This window comes from Homo sapiens, chromosome 1 (assembly GCF_000001405.40).
Source record: "Homo sapiens chromosome 1, GRCh38.p14 Primary Assembly".
NCBI classification, from domain to species: domain Eukaryota; kingdom Metazoa; phylum Chordata; class Mammalia; order Primates; family Hominidae; genus Homo; species Homo sapiens.
This window is the reverse complement of record NC_000001.11, coordinates 58,373,107-58,398,528: the sequence shown is the minus strand read 5'-3', so window position 1 is coordinate 58,398,528 and position 25,422 is coordinate 58,373,107. Positions and strand designations below refer to the sequence as shown.

General features: G+C 42.4%; 1 protein-coding gene across 1 annotated transcript in view, besides 1 other annotated feature; it reads left to right on the top strand.

Moving 5' to 3' along the window:
• DAB1 (DAB adaptor protein 1) overlaps positions 1-25,422 on the top strand; it is a 1,551,949-nt gene that overhangs the window by 148,198 nt on the left and 1,378,329 nt on the right. The window lies entirely within an intron of this gene.
• Positions 6,043-6,543: an enhancer, noted in NCBI's record as "OCT4-NANOG-H3K27ac hESC enhancer chr1:58857658-58858158 (GRCh37/hg19 assembly coordinates)". NCBI's record gives its function as "activates a minimal SCP1, AML or CMV promoter by ChIP-STARR-seq in primed H9 embryonic stem cells {active_cell/tissue: H9 hESC(primed)}" and the evidence as "EXISTENCE:reporter gene assay evidence [ECO:0000049][PMID:30033119]".

The window sequence follows — 25,422 nt, the reverse complement described above, 5'->3', positions numbered from 1 at the left end:
TGGATGCGCCACAGTGGGTACAGATGTGAAAACAGAGGGTCCTGGGATTAAGTCTAGGCTTGGCCTCTTACAACTGTGTGGCTTGGACGGGCATGGAGCCTCCCTTCCGTCTCTAACGTGGAGAGGACAGTGCCTGTCTTGGGAGATTAGAAGTCATGGCACATGTGGATTCTTTAGAAATGTAGCAAGGTAGGTTGGTGGGATGAAGCAGGGCTTGGGTAATAATAGCAGGGAGGTTGAAAACAGCTTGATGTGCACAGATGTGTTTTGAGGAGCAATGAGGAGTGGCAGGAATGAAGAGTATAGATGTAGACAAGTCTGGATCATGGAGGACTCTTTATGTCAGCAGAGTAGCTTGAGTCTCTTCAGACTCACTGCATGCTTTTATGTGGGGAAGCAGGGAACAGAGTTGGCCTGTTGAGAGATCATTCTGGCAGCTGTGAAGATAGATCGGAATCCATGTGCGCAGTGCCAGGGCTCTGTTAGAAAGTGTTATGGGCGAGAGATGGTAGTGACCTGAAGGAAATCCAAGGGTGTGGGATGAAGACAGGGAATGGCTTCTATGACTACTGACTACTGGTTGAGGGTCTGCTATAGGCTTGGAACTCACCATTCCAAGTGCTTTGCAAATAGTAACTCATTTAATTACCTTAACAATGCAGTGAGGTAGGTACTATTATCCCCAGGTTACAGATTCAAAGATGAGGCCCAGAGAAACTAAGACATGTTAAGGAGATCAAATCCACAGGACGTGGTGAATACTTTGATGCGGGGTGGTGGGGAGCAATAAAGGGGTAGGTGACCAGCTTTCTGGCTGGGATGACTGGCTGGAAATTCAGACACCCAGCAGAAGGAGCAGGCTGGGGAAGGAGGCAGGAATGCTATGAGTCAAGCTGTGTCTATGTTGAAGACACCAGTGGCTCCTGTGAGAGGATCTCTGCATTGGATAGGTATGTGGAGCCCAAGAGTATGCCAGATGTGGAGGCGTGGCCTTCAACCTGGTTTCAGGAGTCATGAAGTGGAGGGAGAGATAGAACCCTCTCAGGGAGATCTGAGGGTTGACGAGAGAGGTAAGGTCTGAGCCCTGGAGTATGTGACCTTCACAGACGTTTCTGTCTCCTGCGTCCAAAGCCTGTTCTGGTCCCAGGGCCTGGACTGAAGTGCAGGCTGCATGCCTCTCCGGAGCTCTCACTCCCACTTGTGGGGAAATTAACGTTTCTGCATGAAATGTCAGAACAACCAATCCCCATATGCTTTGAGGTCAGGAATGTTGTGCCTGGGCCGAGTATGGGCTGATCACAGGTTCTTCTGTGAATCTTCTCAGCTCTTAGACCTTGAGGGACAAAGGAGTTGTGGGAGTGTTACCGCTTTCCTCCCACCCCGCTCTCTCCCTCCCTCTCTCCCTTTACCTACTTCTCTCTTGCCCTCTCTGTTTCTTTTTCTTTTCTTTCTTTTTTTTTTTTTGAGACGGAGTCTCGCTCCGTCGCCCAGGCTAGAGTGCAGTAGTGCGATCTCGGCTCACTGCAAGCTCCGCCTCCCGGGTTCACGCCATTCTCCTGCCTCAGCCTCCCGAGTAGCTGGGACTACAGGAGCCCACCACTACGCCCGGCTAGTTTTTTGTATTTTGTTTAGTGGAGACGGGGTTTCACCGTGTTAGCCAGGATGGTCTTGATCTCTTGACCTCATGATCCGCCCGCCTTGGCCTCCCAAAGTGCTGGGATTACAGGCGTGAGCCACCGCGCCCGGACTCCCTCTCTGTTTCTTTATGTCCCTGTGCTTTGCTGCTTTGTTTCTGCCTATTTCTGTCCTACTGTCATTCTGTTGCTCCCTCTTTCCCTGTCTCTGACCCTTTTTGTCTCTCTTTGCTTCCCTCTTTCTCTCTGTCGCCATGAGTCTCTCTCTGCTTCTCTCTTTGTCTCTGCATGCTGGTTTCTGTCTGTGTCTCCCTCCTTGCATATCTCTGTGTCTCTCCCTTTGTCTCTCTCCATCTCTTGTCTTTGTGTCTATGCACTGCCCGCCCCCACCGCCACACCTCTGTGTTTTCTTTCTCTCCTTTCCCTCCTCCCTCCTGTCTCCTGCCTCTGGGAAGAGGGCAGAGATCACTGGGCAGGATTGGATGTCATTAAACGAAAAAAAAGAGAAAGGACTCCTTTTCTCCTGCTTGCCTCTGGGGAATGCCTAACAATGAGAAACACTTTGGTGGGTAATCGATAGGAACAAGATGCAACTAGACATCTTTGTTGGGCAGTGCAGCCGGCAGTTCCCTCTGACTGGAGCCCCTGGGAATGGCTGGCCTCTTGACCAGCCTCAAACAGAGTGTATCACAGTGCAGCGGACTTGAAGTGTGAGCCCAGCACATCCTGACCTGGGGGTGCCTCATTTCCATCCCCCCCTCCCCTCCCTCCCCTGCCCTCTTCTCGCCTGGTAATACTTCACAAATATCATGAATAGAAAGAGACACTGTAACAGACAGGACATAGATTGTAGCCAGCATAGGTTGTGGGGCTGGCTAACAATCAGGGTTTCTCTAGCTGGAGCACTACTCTTAATCTTTCTAAACCCCAATTTTCTTGTGTGTAAACTAGGGAGAATAACAACCGTAATCAATTCTAGGCAAGGCAGCTGGTTTTCTTTTTGAATAACAAATTTGATCAGCACCTCCCCGACTTAGACCCCCACAGCATGGATCATATCTGTCTTTTTTCAATGCTGAATCCCAGCACCAAGCTCCAAGGAGATGCTTAATAAGTGTGTGTGGCAACACAGTAGGTACTTCATATGTGTTTGTCAAATGAACAGACTACCTGCTTCTAGACCTGTACTGCCTGGCTGTCTTCTTTCTGCCTCTAACTTCCCAAAAAAAAGAGCTCCAGGCTAGACTCTAGATCTTTGCTCTTGCTTGCCAGCTTTGTCTTCCCTTTTCTGCCTTTTTCCTCCCTGCATGTGGCCCTCTGAGGTTATGAGGATGAAAGGAAAAGGAAGTGAGTCACACAGGCAGGAATTCAGAACACTGGCCTCTTGGATATAGCCAAACCAGCAGAAGCGTCCACATATGGTATCATAGAAAGTTAAAGAAGGAAGAAAACTTAGAGATCATCAAGTCTGCTCATTCTTCTCCCATTTTACAGATGGGCAATCCGTGCCCAGAGAAAGGGAGTGACTTGCACAAAGTACTATAACTTGTCTCTGTGGCAGAGAGAGGGACAGAAGAAACTTAGAGTTCTACAATTTCTCAAAGTTCCTCAAACATTATCCTTGGTCTTTAGTTCTACACACCCTTATGCATTGGTAAGGGCAAGCCCCACTGAACCCCATTCTCCATTTTAGTCTTAGTAGTGGCGCTCACAAAACCTTCCCCATTCTTCTTAATGCAATCCAACCATAAGATGCATTGCTAACAGAGGCAAACAGGGCCTCTCACTTTAGATGAACCAGCCACAAGAAGCTGCTTTTTGACAGGCTTGTGTCCACTTATCCTGATTCAGCTAGACTGTCGGAGGCTTTCCATGACTCCTCCATTCTGACTAAGATTTGCCATTTTTTTTTTTGCTTCCTCTATACCTTGTATATATCTTATCTTTGGACATCCCACATTGCTTTTTTTAAAATCGGCTTTATAACATATAATTTATGTACAATAAAATTCACCAATTTTATATACAACTCAATGAGTTTTGACAAATACGTACAGTAGTATGACCCCCAGCACAATCAAGAAACAGAACACTTTCATTGGCCCCCAAAGTATAATAACATCCATACTCTCTTGAAGTCAATTTCCTACCATTGCCAGCCCCGGGCAATCATTGATCCAATTTTAGCTGTGATAGCTTTGCCTTTTCCAGAAGTTCATATAATTAGAATCATTTTGTATCTGGTTGCTTTCACTTAACATAATGTTTCTGTGACTCATCAATGTTGTTACAAGTATCAGCAATTCCTTCCTTTTTATTGCATTACAATAGTTATCCAGTTGTTCCAGCACCATTTAATTAAAAGACCATCTTTCCCACTGTATGGATGTACTGCAATTTATTTAACCATTCACGAGGTAATGGACATTTGGATTGTTTCCACTTTTTGGCTGTTGAGAATAAGGCTGCCATGAGCACTCATGTACAGGTTTTGTTTTATTTTTATACGCTTTCATTTTTCTCTGAGTAAATACTCAGGACTAGGATTTCTATGTTATATGGTAAGTGTATCTTTAATTTTAAGAGAAACTGACAAATAGCTTCCAAAGTTCTGTAGCATTCTCCATTAGCACTGGCAATGCATGGAAATTCCAGGTTCCACATCTCTGCCAACACTTGGAATTATCAGTCTTTTTATTTTTAACCATGCTATGGTGCAATCATATCTCATTGAGGTTTTAATTTACATTCTTCTATGACTAATGATATTGATCATCTTTTCTTTGGTAAAGTATATTCAAATTTTTTGTCCATTTTTATCAGGTTGGTTGCTTTCTTATTACTGAGTTACAAGTATTATTTTCATATTTTTTAAATTTTATATTTAATTGACAAATAATAATTACATATATTTATGGGGCATGACATGATGTTTTGAAATACGTTTACATAATGGAATGATTAAATCAAGCTAATTGACAAATCTCTCAGCTCACATACTTTTTATGTGTGGTAAAAATATTTAAAATCTACTCTTTTAGCAATTTGAAATATACAATGGATTATTTATTATAGTCACTATTCTGTGTGATAGATCACTAAAGCTTATTTCTTCTGTAAAACTGGAATCTTGTGCCCTTTTATTAACATCTCCCCTTTCCCCATTTACCCCCCTGCTCCAGCCTGTGGTGTTTACCATCTATTCTTTACTTCTATGAGTTTTACTTCTTTAGATTTCACATATAAGTGTGATATGTATCTTCTTGTGTTTTCAAAGTAAGTTCTTCATGATGAATATAATATTTTCTCCTAGTCTGTGGCACTTGCAAGTCCAGCACCATTTATTTCATCATGGCCAGACCTGAGGTTCGTTAATTATCTCTCTGAGCCTCAGTTTTTTAATATGTAAAACGGTGTTATAAATGTGTCTACTTCTTAGAGTTTGTGAAGATTAAAAGGAATAGTGCATATAAAACTCTTAGCGTAATGCCTAGAACTTAAATAAGAGCTTGAATATCATCAACTAACTGTTATTATTTGATTTGTATTCATTCCATCTCTGCTCAATCAATAATAGTACTCTTTGGGCATTAACTTGTATTATCTGCAGCTGGTAGCTGGAAATAACTGGAGCTCAGGAAACCAGTCTAGACTAGAACTAGAAATTTGGTTGGGAGGCCAAGGTGAGTGGATCACTTAAGCCCCAGAGTTTGAGGCCAGCCTGGACAACATGGTGAAAACCTGTATCTATAAAAAAAAAAAAAAAAAAAAAAAGATTTGGAAGTAAATAGCATGGTATGTAGCTATGATTTGGAGTCTGGAGGCTGACTGAACTCAGAGTGAGAGTGTTTATAGTGAGATGATGAGATAGCCACAGCTGGAACTCTGACCAATCCCAACTCTGACCGATCCCAACATTTGAGGGATAGGCAAAGGAAGAGGGCATGATGGAAGTTAATGAGATTGTGTAGCCTGAGAGGAGGAGGAAAGCCAGGAGAGAACAGAGTCATAGAAGCCAAAGAAGGAGTAAGATCTGAGATGGAAGGAAACACTAACAAACTCAAATGCTATACAGAAGGTGAGCCCTGAAGAAGAGACCAGTACCTTAGCCAAGAGCCAGTGCTTTCAGTGGAGAGGTGAACAGGAAGTCCAACGACAGGGTTAAGAAGCAAGCAAGTGCTGAGGTTTGGGAATCACCAAGCATATAGCTCATGTTTCCCCCACATTTCGTTTGAGATGGTGAGAGGAGAAAGGAGATGGTAGCTTTCTTTAGAGGGTAGCAGTCGTGGAGGGCAGTCTTCCTTTTTTAGTATGGGAGAGACTGAAACGTGTTCCTGGACAGATAGAACAGAACCAGTGGACAGCAAATGGTTGAAAGGACAGAAAAGAGAGTGGATAATAGTAAGGGTGAGTCCCCTGAGGTGGCAAGAAGGAATGGTGTCTAGAGTGTAGAATCAGCTTGGGGCAGGGGAGTGTGGTGGCTTTATACTACGTCAACCCGCTGAGACGGAACAATGTTTCTCTTTATAGTTGAGAGTTAGGATAGACCAAAAGAGAAATTTGCATATGATTTGAAAGAATGGCAGAGCCGTTACATCTTGAAGGTCACTGTGGTTAAACGTGGTGAGAGGTACATGCAGAGGTGCTGGCTGACTTCAGCTTGTTTTGGTTTTTGTAGTAAAAGTGAGATGCCAGAAAATTTGAGCTTATCTTTCTTCCCCTCAACTCTGCGCTTAGCTCTTCTTCCTTCCTGCCTGCCCTGCTAAGTGATGTTAACCCCAGAACCATAATCTGATGCAGCAGCAACAGCCTTCCAAAGACTTTTCCATCAGCTTTCTTTTGCAGATCCACTCCAGCAGATACATGAGCCTGGCTACGCATATTCCTTCATGAATGCCTATGTGCCCACTCATTCTGGTATTTCAAGATGGCTGCTTAGTGACTTATTTGATTTCCCATCTCCCTGTTGGGGTGCTTACTTACCCAGTTTCTACTACAGTTATAAAATGTGTTAATTCTACAACAAATTCATATTTTAGGATATTCACAGAGTTTCAGCTTTCCTGATTGAATCTTGATTGATGTGGGATGGGGGGACATTCTTACACACATTGCAAGACGACACTAAGAGTGGGTGCAGGAAGCAGTAAGAGGGTGGATGTCAAGGGAATTTGGGTCACGTGGTCTTGATGTCATATGAAGACATAGGAACTAGGTCAAATAAGAAAGATTTGAGTTAGGGTGGAGATTGAGGCTTGGAAAGCTTGGAAAAGCTCTGGAAAATGGTACAGTAAGTGGAAGAAAGAGTTGAGAGTATCCTCTGTTGAAAAGCCAAGGGGTTGGAATGTGTACTGGAGGAATGTTAAAGGAAGGAGGCCCGAATTCAAGTCCTGGCTTTACCCCTTCTTAGCTCCATGGCCTTGGATAAGTCACATATTTTCCTCTCTGCGGTTGCTTTTGCCTATTTGTTCTCCCTCCTCCTCTGCCCTGTATTTTAGGAAACTGCATTCCCAAGCTCTTCTGCCAGCTGGCTTCCAAATAGGCCTGGTCAGTGCATGGTACTAGTGGAAGCCTGGAGGAGAGAGAAGCGACACAATCTGGCTATTGCAGTCTCACTGCTCTGCTCCACAGCTTTGACTCTGAGTAGCCTTTTCCTCCAGAGCCTGGCTGCTGCTGGCCGGCAGCTCTCTTTACGGCTCTTGCCCCAGCCAGCAGGCCTGGAAATGGTAGCAATTTCCTGCTATACTACTCTGGGTTGCCACTTCTGCTTTTCCATTACCTGTGTAATGAGGCCCCTGAATAGTTTTCCTCTGCTTGAAATACTCGAGTGGATTTAGTTTTCCTGGCTGATATATTCATCTGTATGATGGGACCGCGATTGCCTACCTCCCAGGATAATTTTCAGATGACGAATGCGTTATTATAACATATGGGGAGAGGAAGGGAGGTAAGAGCTGCTCTATTAATTTAGGTACACTCCCCTGGGAGAACTACCACTGGTGATTCCCACTGCATGCCAGACACTTTCCATTTGTTACACATTAGACTCACCACCTGCGTGACCCTGAATGACTTACTTCACCTCTGTGTGCCTCAGTTTCCTCATCTATAAAGTAGGAACAATAGAAAGCCTGCCTCATCTACTATTGGGAGGATGGGCTGAGACATGGTGCAAAAAATGCCTAGTACAGGGCCTGGCATATATGAAGCACTCAGTGTTACCTATAATTATTACAAATGTGAACATTTATTATTGCTTTTTTATTTTTGTTTCACAAAAAGCTAGAGGACACCAAGGAGCAGTGAAGTTATATTACTTGATCATCTGAGAGACAGTAAGTTATAAGACTGATCCCACGTCCCCCTGACTCCACGATTGCGTTCTTTCCACTGCTCCCCTCTTGCCAATGTCAGTTACATGGAATTGAGCAGACACAGGTCCACAGCAGCAGTGACTGCTGCACTGAGCAGGTCTGCACTTCTTTGCTTCACCTTCCCCTCCCTTCTAGAGCCTCTGTAATTAAACTCAAGTGAAACCAATGCAGGGCCCTAAGAAGAGGATGGACATGATCCTGGTAATAAGTCCCCTGAGAGGCCTTGGCTAGCAAAGGGGCAGCTGGAGGTTCACAGAGGAAGGCAGCTGATGGCTGGGGGTAGGGGTGGGGTGGGGTATGTGTGTGTGTCTTCCGCCTGGCAGATTCCCTCCAAGTCTGCCTCAGAAGGAGCTGGGTGCATTCTGGAAGCTTTTTATTACCAATAGATAGCTCTCAGCTCAGCTCTCCCTTCCCCCAGCCTCCCCTCAGCCTAAAATATATTGAGCTGTGTTAGAGGCAAAGTATATTTTCGCCCTGCTAAGGCCCTCAGGGAAATGGCTACCATGGAGAGGAACCAGGGAGCTATGTAGGATTTTGAACCCCCTTCTTATGCCTGCCCCCCATCCTCCCAAGTGCTGCTGCCCGGCAGGCAGCTACCACCTCATGAGCTTAGTGATCAGCTCTGCTTCTAGGCTGGTTTTGACCTAAACAACCTCCTCCTTGGCTCTTTGCAGATCAGTGATTCTGTATCTTTAGAATTCAATTTATACCTGTAACCAGCTCCTTCTCTCCCCTGCCCTCTCCTCTCTCCCCTGCCAGCACTGAGCTTACTATTCTAGCAGATGAAGTGGAGAATACAAATAACAACAATAATGAATCTGTGCAGGTTGAACATACTTGTATCTGTTCTCTCATTTGAACCTCTTGACAACCTCTGTGAGGGAAATGGACCCAATGAGGAGAAAATTAAGCCTCAGAGTGATGAAATAATCTATCCTAGGTGATGTAAGTGTAAGTAGAAAGTGCCCCAGCTGGGATTCAAACCCAGAACTCTTAATCCTATGCCATGTTGCCTCCAAAGTGGTTGACACTAATTTGGATGCTGAAGTGCTGGCCTGTTGGTGTTATAGGCAGTTCTTTTTTGAGATATGTTGTCACTCTGCTGCTCAGACTATAGTGCAGTGGTGTGATCATAGCTTACTGCAGCTTGGATCTCCTGGGCTGAAGCAATCCTCCTGCCTCAGTCTCCTGAGTAGTTGGGGCTATAGGCATGCACCACCATGCCCTGAAAATTAAGAAAATATTTTTAGAAATGGAGTCTTTGTATGTTGCCCTGGCTGGTCTCAAACAACTAGGCTCCGGCAGTCCTCCCCACTCGGCCTCCCAAAGTACTGGGATTAGAGGCATGAGCCACTATGGGGCAGTTCCTACTGTTCTGTAGTACTCTGTCAAAATAGGGTTTTGCCAAACAACTGGAAAGCACGTGTTTTCATGAAGGATTGATGACCCTCCAGATTAGAACCTTGGACTGCTATTAGGCTGTCCTCTGCCCCTACTGAAAGCACTATCAATGTTTGTTGCCTGCTTCATGTGCACCATGTCTTTTTCATTCGGAACTCCTTGCAGCATGGATATTGCTATCATCATTTTGCAATTGGGATCCTATTTAAGATTACACAGCTAGTAAAGAGCAGTTACAGAATCCACACTTGAGCTTCTCCAGGTCTATAGGTTACTTCAAAAGTACCTGTCTCTTCCTATTGTGCTATACTATATCACATTCTTTAATGACTCCGAGGGTAAAAAATTGCGGTAAAGAGCCTGAGAATGCACTGTAACACTTCTCTTGTTGCCATGATTAGCACCTGTTGTCAACTAGGATTGTACTTGGTTTATAATGATAGAAACCTGACCACAGCGGCTTAACTAAATGGAAGATTTTTGTTCTGTTTTGTTTAGTGAACAAAAAGGTAGATGATCTTGAGCTAGTGCAAATGCTTGAGCAAATAGTCAATGCTCCAGGCTCCTTCTGGCTTCCTGCTCTGACATTCTAAGCATTTGGCTTTTGTCTTTATGGTTGTAGGCTGGCTGTCTTATTTCTAAGCATCAAGGCTGCACTCCAGGCAGGAAGAAGGGTAAAGGATAGGAACTACATGACCGTGGAGTCTGTCTCTTTCTATCAGAGAAACAGTAGCTTTTCTGGAATCTCCACTCAATAGTCTTTTACTTAACATCTATTGGCTGAAAATGGTCACATGGCTATCCCTGGCTATAAGAGAATCTGGGATGTTAGGATTTCTAGGTAGGTACATGGTCTCTTGAAACAGAGTTCTGTTAGTATAATAAGGAGAGTGGTGTCAGAGCTCAGAAAATGATACCCCAAAATATAGTGAACTAGAGAAGCACCTGAAAGACTCTAATCTTCCCTCTCCTCCCTGTCTTTCTGATCTTCTTACCTTCCTGAAGCACCAGGAGGGACTGTCTCTGGAATTTCCTTATCTGACTAAGAAAGCTTCTTTCTAAAAGAAATGTAATTGTCTTAAGATGCCCTCCTGGCCAGGCATGGTGGCTCACGCCTATAATCCCAGCACTTTGGGAAGCCAAGGCAGGTGGATCATGAGGTCAGGAGATAAAGACCATCCTGGCTAACATGGTGAAACCCTGTCTCTACTAAAAATACAAAAAAATTAACCAGGCGTGGTGGCGGGCGCCTGTAGTCCCAGCTACTTCAGAGGCTGAGGCAGGAGAATGGCATAAAACCGGGAGGCAGAGCTTGCAGTGAGCCGAGATTGCACCACTGCACTCCAGCCTGGGCAACACAGAGCGAGACTCTGTCTCAAAAAAAAAAAAAAAAAAAAGAAAAGAAAAGAAAAAAAGATGCCCTCCCTAGAAATCTCGTCAAATAACCAGGAAAGATTAACTCCTAGAGAAGAGAAAACACTGAGGGTCCTCACCATGTCCAGACAGACTTTTCATTTATTCTTCTGAGTGCAGCTCTGAAAGATTATCTGGGGAACTTTATCTACATAATAAGACATCTTCGTTCACAGCAAAGTTTTGCCCTTCACTTTCCCACCACCTCCCGAAGAGCTCAGAGGAACTTTGTCTTGGGCCATTGTTCTTTGGCCTTATTTATTTTCCCTAAAAATCACTCACTCCTATACCCCTCCATTCCCCTTCCCCCATGAAAAAGAACATATAAACATCTGTACTCCATTGGGTTATTGACTAATCATCCTCCTGTGATTTCCTTGTGATATGCATGTTAAATTCATTTTGTATGCTTTTTCTCCTATTAATCTGTCTATGTCAGTTTATTTTCAGTGAACCTTCAGAGAGTGGAGGGGAACCTTTCCCTTGGCCTCTGCAGTGGATGTAGAGCAGGGGCCAGCAGTGTTTGCCACCAATTTGCGCTGGACTTTACAGTAATGAGTTTCATAATCTCTTACTTTGACAGGACTTTTAAATTTCCAAAACACTTTTTTTGTTTGTTTGTTTTTTTGTTTTGTTTTTGTTTTTTGAGATGGAGTTTTGCTCTTGTTGACCAGGCTGGAGTGCAATGGCATGATCTTGGCTCACCACAACTTCTGCCTCCCGGATTCAAGCGATTCTCCTACCTCAGCCTGCTGAGTAGCTGGGATTACAGGCATGTGCCACCATGCCCAGCTAATTTTGTATTTTTAGTAGAGTTGGGGTTTCTCCATGTTGGTCAAGGCTGGTCTTGAACTCTTGACCTCAGGTCATCCACCTGCCTCGGCCTCCCAAAGTTCTGGGATTACAGGCATGAGCTACTGCGCCTGGCTCTCCAAAACACTTTTATCTGTGTTATTCCTTTTGATCTGTATGACAGCCTTCTAAAAGAGGTAGGGTATGGATCTCCCAGGAGTTGTGCAGATCTGACATCATATTTCTCACTTTACAAAAGCGGAAACTGAGGTTCAAAGAGTTAAATGACTTGCTGAAAGTCATAGAACTAGAAAGTAGTAAGACCAGAAGTGGAGTTCAGTATTTGGAGACCCACTGTGACTTTGGATAAGTCGCTTACCCTCTCTGCTTGTTCTTTCACTTGTCAGATAGAAATAACAATTTTACCAACCACATAAGGTTGTCATGAGAACCCAATAACCCCTAGTCCTTGCACATCTTAAGTGCTTATTAAATATGAGAACAAACATTTAATATACTCAAATACATTTTCCTCATCATCCCAAAGCAAGTTAGAACCTTTTCTCCAACTTACCATTTCTCATTAACCTTGAGTGTAGAACGTATCAAACTATTCATACATTTTCCCTATGCACAAGCAATACTTAATTCCCATTAAACTGAGAGGTTCCTGAGGGAATGTTTTGAGGGAACTCATTTCTCAGGGCTCATGTTTTACTAAGAGTCTTCCACTCCATTTCATAGGAGGAAAGGATATTAGAGCAACACCTTTAACCTAACTCTTTGGCCCTCTGTTACTGCACCTGAGAAAGAACTTCTTCCTTTCTTCCTCCTTTCCTTCCTTTATTTTAATGATACGAAAACGCTCTTAGATAGGTAGAGCTAACGTGCTATAAAACATGCTTTTTGGGTGTGAAGAAAGTGCCTTTCCCATGTAGTTGGCTGAGTATCTGTTCCGTAGAGTCTTTCCTCAGTCAGATCTTAAGGGCTATCCTTGGTAGGAGGAGCAGGTGGTGGCATACGAGGAATCCTCGCTCTGACATTTGATTAACGCAGTGTTCACCAAGCAGCTTTACAAGCAATAATGTTGGTACCTTGATCTCCATTTGACTCCCTTGTCATTTTTCAATTGGTTCAGGACTGAGAAGCAGAAGGGTCTGATTTATCATCTCAAAGCAACCTTAACAGCAGAGACAGCAGCCTTCCTCCTGCTTTGCATCCTGGGTCCATTAGGACAATATCTGTGTTTAAAAATGAATGATAAAATGGATAATGAAAGTGAAAGCACCTTATAAACTGTAAAGTTCTATTGGATAGAATTTATTAGTGTTACCACCTGTTTCGTAAAATTCTCCTGTAGCTGAAAGGAATAGGCTAGGTTTTGGATAGAACATAATCTCTTCAGGAGGTCTTGGCAGTGTGGTGGGGATGGGGGATTGGAAGAAGGAAAAGGAAGAAAAAGTGATCTCAACATGTTTAAACAATGCATATGAAATGCTTTTGGAAGGTGAATGAAACCTGGTCAGCAGGGGTCTAGTGAGGAAGCATACACATGCAAGAGTAAGACAGGGTAAGACATTAAGCAAATACTATGAAACTCACAGCTAGGAAAGCACATAAAAGGAGAGGATTAATTTCTCTTTAGCTTTGTTGAGGCATAATGGGTATACAAAAACTGCACACGATAAATGTATACAATTTGCTGAGTTTGGACATATGTATACACTCCTGCTACCATCACCACAATCAATATAATAAAGCTATGCATCACCACTAAAAGTTTTCTTATGTCTCTTTGTTTTTTGTTGTTGTTTGTGTGCTTGTTTTTATAGTAAGAACACTTAACATGAGTTTTACCCTCTGTGATGGTTAATACTGACTGTCAACTTGATTGGATTGAAGGATGCAAAATATTGTTCCTAGGTGTGTCTGAAGTTGTTTCCAAAGGAGATTAACATTTGAGTCAGTGGACTAAGAGGCAGAGTCATCCTCAATCTGGGTGGGCACCATCTAATCAGCTGCCAGTTAGGCGAGAATAAAGCAGCCAGAAGAAATTGGAGAGAGCAGACTTGCTGAGTCTTCCAGCCTTCATCTTTCTCCCATGCTGGATGCTTCCTGCCCTCAAACATCAGACTCGAAGTTATTCAGCTTTTGGACTCTTGGACTTACACCACTGGTTTTCCAGGGGCCTTTGGGCCTTTGGCCACAGACTGAAGGCTGCACTGTTGGCTTCCCTACTTTTGAGGTTTTGGGACTTGGACTGGTGTCCTTGCTCCTCAGCTTGCAGACAGACAGCCTTTTGTGGGACTTCATCTTGTGATTCTGTGAGTCCATACTCCTTAATAAACTCCCCTTCATATATACATCTACCCTATTAGTCCTGTCCCTCTAGAGAACCCTGACTCATCATACACCCTCTTAACTAATTTGTAAGGTACAATATTTTATTTTTAACTATAGGCTATGTTGTACAGCAGATCCCTGGTACTTCCTTATTTTAGGTAACTGTAACTTCATACCCATTAAACAACAACTCCTCATCCCCTCATAACCACCATTCTATCGTCTACTTCAACATGACTATTTAGATATCTTTCATAAGAGAAATTTGCAGTGTTTGTCTTTCTGTGACTCACTTATTTTACTTAGCATATTTTTTTTTCCAAGTCCATCCGTGTTGTAGCAAATGGTAGGATTTTCTTTTTTTTAAAGGCTGAATAATGTTCCATTGTATGTATTTGGCCAACAGGTTTGTACCAAGTTGTTCAACATTGATAATCATTAGAGAAAGGCAAATCAAAACCACAATGAGATATTATTCCACATCAGTTTCAATGGCTACTATAAAAAAAAAAACAACAACAAAAGATAACAAGTGTTGGTGAGGTTAGGGAGAAGTTGGAACTCTTGTCCACTGTTAGTTAGAAAGTAAAAATAGTGCAGCTGCTATGGAAAACAGTAACGCAGTTCCTCAAAAATTAAAAATAGAACTACCATATGATCTAGCAATCTCACTTCTGGATATATATCCAATGAATTGATGTCAGGATCTCAAAGAGATACCTACACACCCACATTCATTGCAGCATTATCCACAATAGCCAAGATATGGAAACAACCCGTGTGCTCATCGGCAGATGAAAGGGAAGATTAATTTTAACCTAGAGGTAGATGTGAGTATAGGGTCAGGGAAGCCTTAGAAAAGGCAGAAATATTTGAGCTGAGGTTAAAAAAATGAATGGTCATTTTAATAGGTAGTGTTTGTTAGTAATAATAGCAACAACTATATTATTGAGTGTCATGTGTCAGATACTGTACTGAAAAAATGTATGTATGAAACCAGATAATGCTTATGGCAACCGTATGTGGTAGCTACTATTTTCATTGCCATTTTTTCAGATGACAAAAATGGTATTGGCAGAGAACATTTATCAAAGCCATGCAAGCCAGAAAAAGGGTATAATTCTTGTATGGCTTCTACAGGGCCTAAGATATATTAAAAATCAACTTTGTGTTTACTGTTTTGGGGCCGCTAGGAGTCCACTGTGAGTGCTGGAAGGGATTTGGGGGCACATAGAACTTTTGCCAGCCATCTCTCATGAGCATATACTCTCTAGAGTCAGAAGACCTGAGTCTGAATCTTGACTCTGTCATGCACTTACTATATTTGATCCTTTTAAATAATTTAACCTATCTGTACTCAAGTTTGTTTATCTATATAAAAAGGGCATAATACTCTGCTCACTAACAGATCTAATGTGGGATTATTGAGAAAAGGTCCATGAATACTTCTTTGTGTATAGTGAAAATACTTTATGTATAGTGAAAATACTACTGGCTCATTCCTGTTCTTATGCTCTTGTAACTCTTTGCTACGTGTCCCTTGTGCGCTGGGTGCTGGATAAGTCCTCATTACACATTAGCACAAAGTCTTACAACAGATGCACCAGAAAGGAGTTATCTCTAACCTCATTTTATAGATGAAGAATTGAATGCTGGGAGAGGAGTGTGATCACTCAGGTGACATGTGACAGAGCTGGGTAAAACTCAGGTCTGTGTGGTTCTCATCTCTGTGTCATTTCTACCACACCAGTCCCCTACCAAGATAAGATGGTAAATGCAACTGATATACAATACACAGCTCAAGGTCATTTTGCAGAAGACAGTTTGCCAAATGTCCTGTCTTCCAAATGAGCAATAACCAAATTTACATGTCTCTTTTAAAAAGCTTTAAAGTCTATAGCAGTTTACACTGTGTTTTAAAAGCTTTCAAGATTTCCCATTTTTAGTTGACCAATATCTATTTTGTCTTCCCAACAGTATTTTGAGGAATATTCCCGTACTTTCTGCCATAGCTCAGCAAGTGGAACATGGGCTGGATGTCTGTCCCCACCTGCTGCCTCAGCTAGGAGCCCTTTCAGGGCTATGAATCATTCAGCCATATGTGATAGCTCTTGGAGACATCTGGGTTGGCTTTGAGTAGTTTCATTTTTGCAGATTAGTCCATGTCACAGTGGGGTCTTCTGACAGTCAGGTGGAGTTTGGAACAACTGTAGCTTATGCTGTGACTATTTCCCCAGCTGTATAATTGAATAGGTATACTCAGGAATGGGCAGAATCCCCGCCTTGGCTCTCCAATCTATGGAGTGAGAATTATTACAGTAGGAAAGACCAAGCAGAAGCTCCTGGAACTTCTCTTCCACACCAAGATATTAATAAAAAGCAGTACCCAGACCTGGGAGAATGACATAGATTTGTGCCATCTTTAGATATTTGAAAGATGTATTGCCTCCCCCATTTAACTTGCCTGCCACATTGCCTTCTCTTCCTCCATCCACACTCTCTTAGTTGGGTTTCTCAAAGCAGAGCTAAAGTCAAAGGTTCAAATGCAAATAGTTATTAGACCTTTCTTTAGTATCTATCTACTGTTTCTTCTTTCATGGTGTCATTCAGTCTCACTTCTTTGATGGTGTCATTCAGTCTCACTTCTTTGATGGTGTCATTCAGTCTCACTTCTTTGATGGTGTCATTCATTATTTTTTACTATTGATATGCTGGTGACTCCTAAATTTATTCCCAGGCTTGTCCTCTCTACAGAGCTTCAGACTTGTATTGTCCAACTGCCCACTTAGCATCTCCATTCATAGTCTAATGGTTATCACCCAGTTAACATACCCAGAAAAGAACTATGAGCTGCAATACTCCACCTCCCAATCTACTATTCCTTATTTCAGTTATCCCCCAGTTTATTTAAAAACCTTGGAAGCATTCTTAATTCCTGTGGTTTGGTCTTCAAACTGTATCCTGAATCTGAGTACATTTCACCATTTCTATATCTCACATTGTACTTGAGGCTCCAGTAGTCTTTCCCCTGAACTGTTTACAATAGGTCCCAACTGGTTCTTGACTTTCATTCTTGCTACTCTATCATTTATTCTCTGTATAGCAGCCAAACAGGCCTTTAACGTGTATTAATTATTGTTATTCCCCTGTTCAAAACTCTGTAAGACCTTTTCATAATAGAGTAAAAGCTGAACCCTCATCATAGTCTTAAAAGCCCTACTTGGCTGACCCTGGCCTACTTCTCCCATCTTTTTTTTTTCAACTTTTATTTTAAGTTCGGGGATACATGTGTAGCATGCGCAGATTTCTTACTTAGGTAAATGTGTGCCATGGTGGTTTGCTGCACAGATCATTCCATCACCTGGGTATTAAGCCCAACATTCATTAGCTATTCTTCTTGAAGCTCTCTCTCCCCACTTTTCCCCCTGAGACAGGCTCCAGCGTGTGTTTTTCCCCTCCATGTGTGCATGTGCTCTGATCATTTAGTTCCCAATTATAAGTGAAAACATGTGGTGTTTGGTTTTCTGTTCCTGCATTAGTTTGCTGATGCCGGTAATGGCTTCCAGCTCCATCTATGTCCCTGCAAAGGACATGATCTCGTTCGTTTTTATGGGTGCATAGTATTCCATGGTGTATATGTACCACATTTTCTTTATCCAATCTATCATTGATGGGCATTTGGGTTGATTTCATGTCTTTGCTATTGTGACTAGTACTGCAATGAATATATGCGTCCCAGCTTATTTTCTAGTAAGTTGCTCCTTTAATTTACTCCATGCCCATCATGGTGTCCTTTTTAATGTTTCTCAAATCTACTGAGCTTATTCTGGCTTCAGAACCTTGTACTTCCTTCCCTTCTGCCTGAGATGTTTTCCTCTTAGACCTTTGAATGACACTCTCCTTCATGCTAATTAGCTATCTGCTCCAATCCTATCTTCTAAGAAAAGCTGATGACAACCTAAGAAATAGTCATCTCTGCTGTCTCAGGGGACAGAATAACCTACTACATCAAAGAGATGCAAATATGTGCCTCCAGCATAATAGATGTTAATTTCTTTCTCATGCAACAATCCAGGGCTGTATTAGTCCATTTTCACACTGCTATGAAGAACTGCCTGAGACTGGGTAATTCATGAAGAAAACAGGTTTAATTGACTCACAGTTCCGCATGGCTGGGGAGGCCTTAGGAAACTTACAATCGTGATGGAAGGTGAATGGGAAAGCAAGGCACGTCTTACGTGGAGGCAGGTGAGAGAGAGAGAGCACTGGGGAAACTGCCACTGATAAAACCATCTGATCTTATGAGAGCTCACTATTACGAGAACAGCATGGGGGAAATTGCCCATGATCCAATTACCTCCCACCATGTCCCTCCTTCAACATGTGGGGATTACAATTCCAGATGAGGTTTGGGTGAGGACACAGAGCCAAACCATATCAGGAGCCCATGAGGTATCTCTGACATGCTTCCCAGGTGGCATCCAAGGATGCTATAGTTGTTGCCACTTCTTAGCTAGCTGAGGAAGAGAAAGTACAAGGCAAGTAGTTTTGCTTCTAGGGGCTGACATGAAATTTACTATTGCTTATATTTCATTAGACCAAACATAGGTACATATCTACACCTAGCTGCAAGAGAGGCTGAGAAATATCATCTCTAGCTGGGTGGCCTTGAGCTTAGTTAATGAAACTGAGAGGTTCTATATAAAAAAGAAGATGGGGAGAAAAATACTGGGGGACAATTTGTGACCTCTGCCTCACCTGCATACCTTAACTTCCATATACCGTGTTTTCCTACTCCACAGTACTCATCCCAGCTTGACTTTATATATGTTTATTTGTGTCTTTGTTAATCTCCTATTGTTCCAACTCTATAGACTATCAGCTCATTGGGGAAGAACTGTGTTTTCACCACTGTATCCCTAGAGCCTGGGATGGTTGCACCAATAGGTATTCAAATATATTTGTTAAGTGAGTGAACAACAAAGAATTTGTCTACTTTTCATCTAATTTGTCATAATAGGTAGTTATTAGAAATAATGTTAACTTTGAATTTTTGTTCAACCTGTTATCTTAAAACAAACGGTTAGCTAATTAGAGTTTCCAGTGCGAATATTTCCAGTAGATATTAATACATTTCAATGGGTTGTAATCCATGGCTAGAGGGTATAGCAAATGAGTGCTTGTGCCAAATAAATTTTGTATTTCATAGAGCCATTAGTAGTAGTATGTGGTATTGCTACATTTACTAAATGATTTAAAAATTATTGATTTAAACAACCTAAGTGTTTATTACATTCCATGTGTATATAATCACTGACTGCTACTTCCAAGATAGTCATAGCCATGGAAGAAAATAGTAAGCTGGGGGGGAGGAGCCAAGATGGCCGAATAGGAACAGCTCCGGTCTACAGCTCCCAGCGTGAGCGACGCAGAAGACGGGTGATTTCTGCATTTCCATCTGAGGTACCGGGTTCATCTCACTAGGGAGTGCCAGACAGTGGGCGCAGGCCAGTGGGTGCGCGCACCATGCGCGAGCCGAAGCAGGGCGAGGCATTGCCTCACCTGGGAAGCGCAAGGGGTCAGGGAGTTCCCTTTCCGAGTCAAAGAAAGGGGTGACGGACGCACCTGGAAAATCGGGTCACTCCCACCCGAATATTGCGCTTTTCCGACGGGCTTAAAAAACGGCGCACCACGAGACTATATCCCACACCTGGCTCGGAGGGTCCTACGCCCACGGAATCTCGCTGATTGCTAGCACAGCAGTCTGAGATCAAACTGCAAGGCGGCAGCGAGGCTGGGGGAGGGGCGCCCGCCATTGCCCAGGCTTGCTTAGGTAAACAAAGCAGCCGGGAAGCTCGAACTGGGTGGAGCCCACCACAGCTCAAGGAGGCCTGCCTGCCTCTGTAGGCTCCACCTCTGGGGGCAGGGCACAGACAAACAAAAAGACAGCAGTAACCTCTGCAGACTTAAGTGTCCCTGTCTGACAGCTTTGAAGAGAGCAGTGGTTCTCCCAGCACGCAGCTGGAGATCTGAGAACCGGCAGACTGCCTCCTCAAGTGGGTCCCTGACCCCTGACCCCCGAGCAGCCTAACTGGGAGGCACCCCCCAGCAGGGGCACACTGACACCTCACACGGCAGGGTATTCCAACAGACCTGCAGCTGAGGGTCCTGTCTGTTAGAAGGAAAACTAACAAACAGAAAGGACATCCACACCGAAAACCCATCTGTACATCACCATCATCAAAGACCAAAAGTAGATAAAACCACAAAGATGGGGAAAAAACAGAACAGAAAAACGGGAAACTCTAAAACGCAGAGCACCTCTCCTCCTCCAAAGGAACGCAGTTCCTCACCAGCAACGGAACAAAGCTGGATGGAGAATGATTTTGACAAGCTGAGAGAAGAAGGCTTCAGACGATCAAATTACTCTGAGCTATGGGAGAACATTCAAACCAAAGGCAAAGAAGTTGAAAACTTTGAAAAAAATTTAGAAGAATGTATAACTAGAATAACCAATACAGAGAAGTGCTTAAAGGAGCTGATGGAGCTGAAAACCAAGGCTTGAGAACTATGTGAAGAATGCAGAAGCCTCAGGAGCCGATGCGATCAACTGGAAGAAAGGGTATCAGCAATGGAAGATGAAATGAATGAAATGAAGCGAGAAGGGAAGTTTAGAGAAAAACGAATAAGAAGAAGTGAGCAAAGCCTCCAAGAAATATGGGACTATGTGAAAAGACCAAATCTACGTCTGATTGGTGTACCTGAAAGTGATGCGGAGAATGGAACCAAGTTGGAAAACACTCTGCAGGATATTATCCAGGAGAACTTCCCCAATCTAGCAAGGCAGGCCAACGTTCAGATTCAGGAAATACAGAGAACACCACAAAGATACTCTTCGAGAAGAGCAACTCCAAGACACATAATTGTCAGATTCACCAAAGTTGAAATGAAGGAAAAAATGTTAAGGGCAGCTAGAGAGAAAGGTCGGGTTACCCTCAAAGGGAAGCCCATCAGACTAACAGCAGATCTCTTGGCAGAAACCCTACAAGCCAGAAGAGAGTGGGGGCCAATATTCAACATTCTTAAAGAAAAGAATTTTCAACCCAGAATTTCATATCCAGCCAAACTAAGCTTCATAAGTGAAGGAGAAATAAAATACTTTACAGACAAGCAAATGCTGACCGATTTTGTCACCACCAGGCCTGCCCTAAAAGAGCTCCTGAAGGAAGCGCTAAACATGGAAAGGAACAACCGGTACCAGCCGCTGCAAAATCATGCCAAAATGTAAAGACCATCGAGACTAGGAAGAAACTGCATCAACTAACGAGCAAAATCACCAGCTAACATCATAATGACAGGATCAAATTCACATATAACAAGATTAATTTTAATTGTAAATGGACTAAATTCTCCAATTAAAAGGCACAGACTGGCAAGTTGGATAAAGAGTCAAGACCCATCAGTGTGCTGTATTCAGGAAACCCATCTCACGTGCAGAGACACACATAGGCTCAAAATAAAAGGATGGAGGAAGATCTACCAAGCAAATGGAAAACAAAAAAAGGCAGGGGTTGCAATCCTAGTCTCTGATAAAACAGACTTTAAACCAACAAAGATCAAAAGAGACAAAGAAGGCCATTACATAATGGTAAAGGGATCAATTCAACAAGAAGAGCTAACTATCCTAAATATATATGCACCCAATACAGGAGCACCCAGATTCATAAAGCAAGTCCTGAGTGACCTACAAAGAGACTTAGACTCCCACACATTAATAATGGGAGACTTTAACACCCCACTGTCAACATTAGACAGATCAACGAGACAGAAAGTCAACAAGGATACCCAGGAATTGAACTCAGCTCTGCACCAAGGGGACCTAATAGACATCTACAGAACTCTCCACCCCAAATCAACAGAATATACATTTTTTTCAGCACCACACCACACCTATTCAAAAATTGACCACATAGTTGGAAGTAAAGCTCTCCTCAGCAAATGTAAACGAACAGAAATTATAACAAACTATCTCTCAGACCACAGTGCAATCAAACTAGAACTCAGGATTAAGAATCTCACTCAGAGCCACTCAACTACATGGAAACTGAACAACCTGCTCCTGAATGACTACTGGGTACATAAGGAAATGAAGGCAGAAATAAAGATGTTCTTTGAAACCAATGAGAACAAAGACACAACATACCAGAATCTCTGGGACACATTCAAAGCAGTGTGTAGAGGGAAATTTATAGCACTAAATGCCCACAAGAGAAAGCAGGAAAGATCCAAAATTGACACCCTAACATCACAATTAAAAGAACTAGAAAAGCAAGAGCAAACACATTCAAAAGCTAGCAGAAGGCAAGAAATAACTAAAATCAGAGCAGAACTGAAGGAAATAGAGACAAAAAAACCCCTTCAAAAAATCAATGAACCCAGGAGCTGGTTTTTTGAAAGGATCAACAAAATTGATAGACTGCTAGCAAGACAAAGAAAAAAAGAGAGAAGAATCAAATAGACACAATAAAAAATGATAAAGGGGATATCACCACCGATCCCACAGAAATACAAACTACCATCAGAGAATACTGCAAACACCTCTACGCAAATAAACTAGAAAATCTAGAAGAAATGGATACATTCCTGGACACATACAGTCTCCCAAGACTAAACCAGGAAGAAGTTGAATCTCTGAATAGACCAATAACAGGAGCTGAAATTGTGGCAATAATCAATAGTTTACCAACCAAAAAGAGTCCAGGACCAGATGGATTCACAGCTGAATTCTACCAGAGGTACAAGGAGGAACTGGTACCATTCCTTCTGAAACTATTCCAATCAATAGAAAAAGAGGGAATCCTCCCTAACTCATTTTATGAGGCCAGCATCATTCTGATACCAAAGCCGGGCAGAGACACAACCAAAAAAAGAGAATTTTAGACCAATATCCTTGATGAACATTGATGCAAAAATCTTCAATAAAATACTGGCAAACTGAATCCAGCAGCACATCAAAAAGCTTATCCACCATGATCAAGTGGGCTTCATCCCTGGGATGCAAGGCTGGTTCAATATACGCAAATCAATAAATGTAATCCAGCATATAAACAGAACCAAAGACAAAAACCACATGATTATCTCAATAGATGCAGAAAAAGCCTTTGACAAAATTCAACAACCCTTCATGCTAAAAACTCTCAATAAATTAGGTATTGATGGGATGTATTTCAAAATAATAAGAGCTATCTATGACAAACCCACAGCCAATATCATACTGAATGGGCAAAAACTGGAAGCATTCCCTTTAAAAACTGGCACAAGACAGGGATGCCCTCTCTCACCGCTCCTATTCAACATAGTGTTGGAAGTTCTGGCCAGGGCAATTAGGCAGGAGAAGGAAATAAAGGGTATTCAATTAGGAAAAGAGCAAGTCAAATTGTCCCTGTTTGCAGACGACATGATTGTTTATCTAGAAAACCCCATCGTCTCAGCCCAAAATCTCCTTAAGCTGATAAGCAACTTCAGCAAAGTCTCAGGATACAAAATCAATGTACAAAAATCACAAGCATTCCTATACACCAACAACAGACAAACAGAGAGCCAAATCATGAGTGAACTCCCATTCACAATTGCTTCAAAGAGAATAAAATAGCTAGGAATCCAACTTACAAGGGATGTGAAGGACCTCTTCAAGGAGAACTACAAACCACTGCTCAAGGAAATAAAAGAGGATACAAACAAATGGAAGAACATTCCATGCTCATGGGTAGGAAGAATCAAGATCGTGAAAATGGCCATACTGCCCAAGGTAATTTACAGATTCAATGCCATCCCCATAAAGCTACCAATGACTTTCTTCACAGAATTGGAAAAAACTACTTTAAAGTTCATATGGAACCAAAAAAGAGCCCGCATCACCAAGTCAATCCTAAGCCAAAAGAACAAAGCTGGAGGCATCACACTACCTGACTTCAAACTATACTACAAGGCTACAGTAACCAAAACAGCATGGTACTGGTACCAAAACAGAGATATAGATCAATGGAACAGAACAGAGCCCTCAGAAATAACGCTGCTTACCTACAACTATGTGATCTTTGACAAACCTGAGAAAAACAAGCAATGGGGAAAGGATTCCCTATTTAATAAATGGTGCTGGGAAAACTGGCTAGCCATATGTAGAAAGCTGAAACTGGATCCCTTCCTTACACCTTATACAAAAATCAATTCAAGATGGATTAAAGATTTAAACGTTAGACCTAAAACCATAAAAACCCTAGAAGAAAACCTAGGCATTACCATTCAGGACATAGGCATGGGCAAGGACTTCATGTCCAAAACACCAAAAACAATGGCAACAAAAGCCAAAATTGACAAATGGGATCTAATTAAACTAAAGAGCTTCTGCACAGCAAAAGAAACTACCATCAGAGTGAACAGGCAACCTACAACACGGGAGAAAATTTTTGCAACCTACTCATCTGACAAAGGGCGTATATCCAGAATCTACAATGAACTCAAACAAATTTACAAGAAAAAAACAAAGAACCCCATCAAAAAGTGGGCGAAGGACATGAACAGACACTTCTCAAAAGAAGACATTTATGCAGCCAAGAAACACATGAAAAAATGCTCACCATCACTGGCCATCAGAGAAATGCAAATCAAAACCACTATGAGATATCATCTCACACCAGTTAGAATGGCAATCATTAAAAAGTCAGGAAACAACAGGTGCTGGAGAGGATGTGGAGAAATAGGAACACTTTTACACTGTTGGTGGGACTGTAAACTAGTTGAACCATCGTGGAAGTCAGTGTGGCAATTCCTTAGGGATCTAGAACTAGAAATACCATTTGACCCAGCCATCCCATTACTGGGTATATACCCAAATGACTATAAATCATGCTGCTATAAAGACACGTGGCTATAAAGACGTATGTTTATTGCGGCATTATTCACAATAGCAAAGACTTGGAACCAACCCAAATGTCCAACAATGATAGACTGGATTAAGAAAATGTGGCACATATACACCATGGAATACTATGCAGCCGTAAGAAATGATGAGTTCATGTCCTTTGTAGGGACATGGATGAAGTTGGAAACCATCATTCTCAGTAAACTATTGCAAGAACAAAAAACCAAACACCGCATATTCTCACTCATAGGTGGGAATTGAACAATGAGATCACATGGACACAGGAAGGGGAATATCACACTCTGGGGACTGTGGTGGGGAGGGGGGAGTGGGGAGGGATAGCATTGGGAGATATACCTAATGCTAGATGACGAGTTAGTGGGTGCAGCGCACCAGCATGGCACATGTATACATATGTAACTGACCTGCACAATGTGCACATGTACCCTAAAACTTAAAGTATAATTAAAAAAAAAAAAAAGAAAATAGTAAGCTGGATGCTTTGGTTAGAAAAGTATTAGTAAACTTTATTAATTTTTATTAT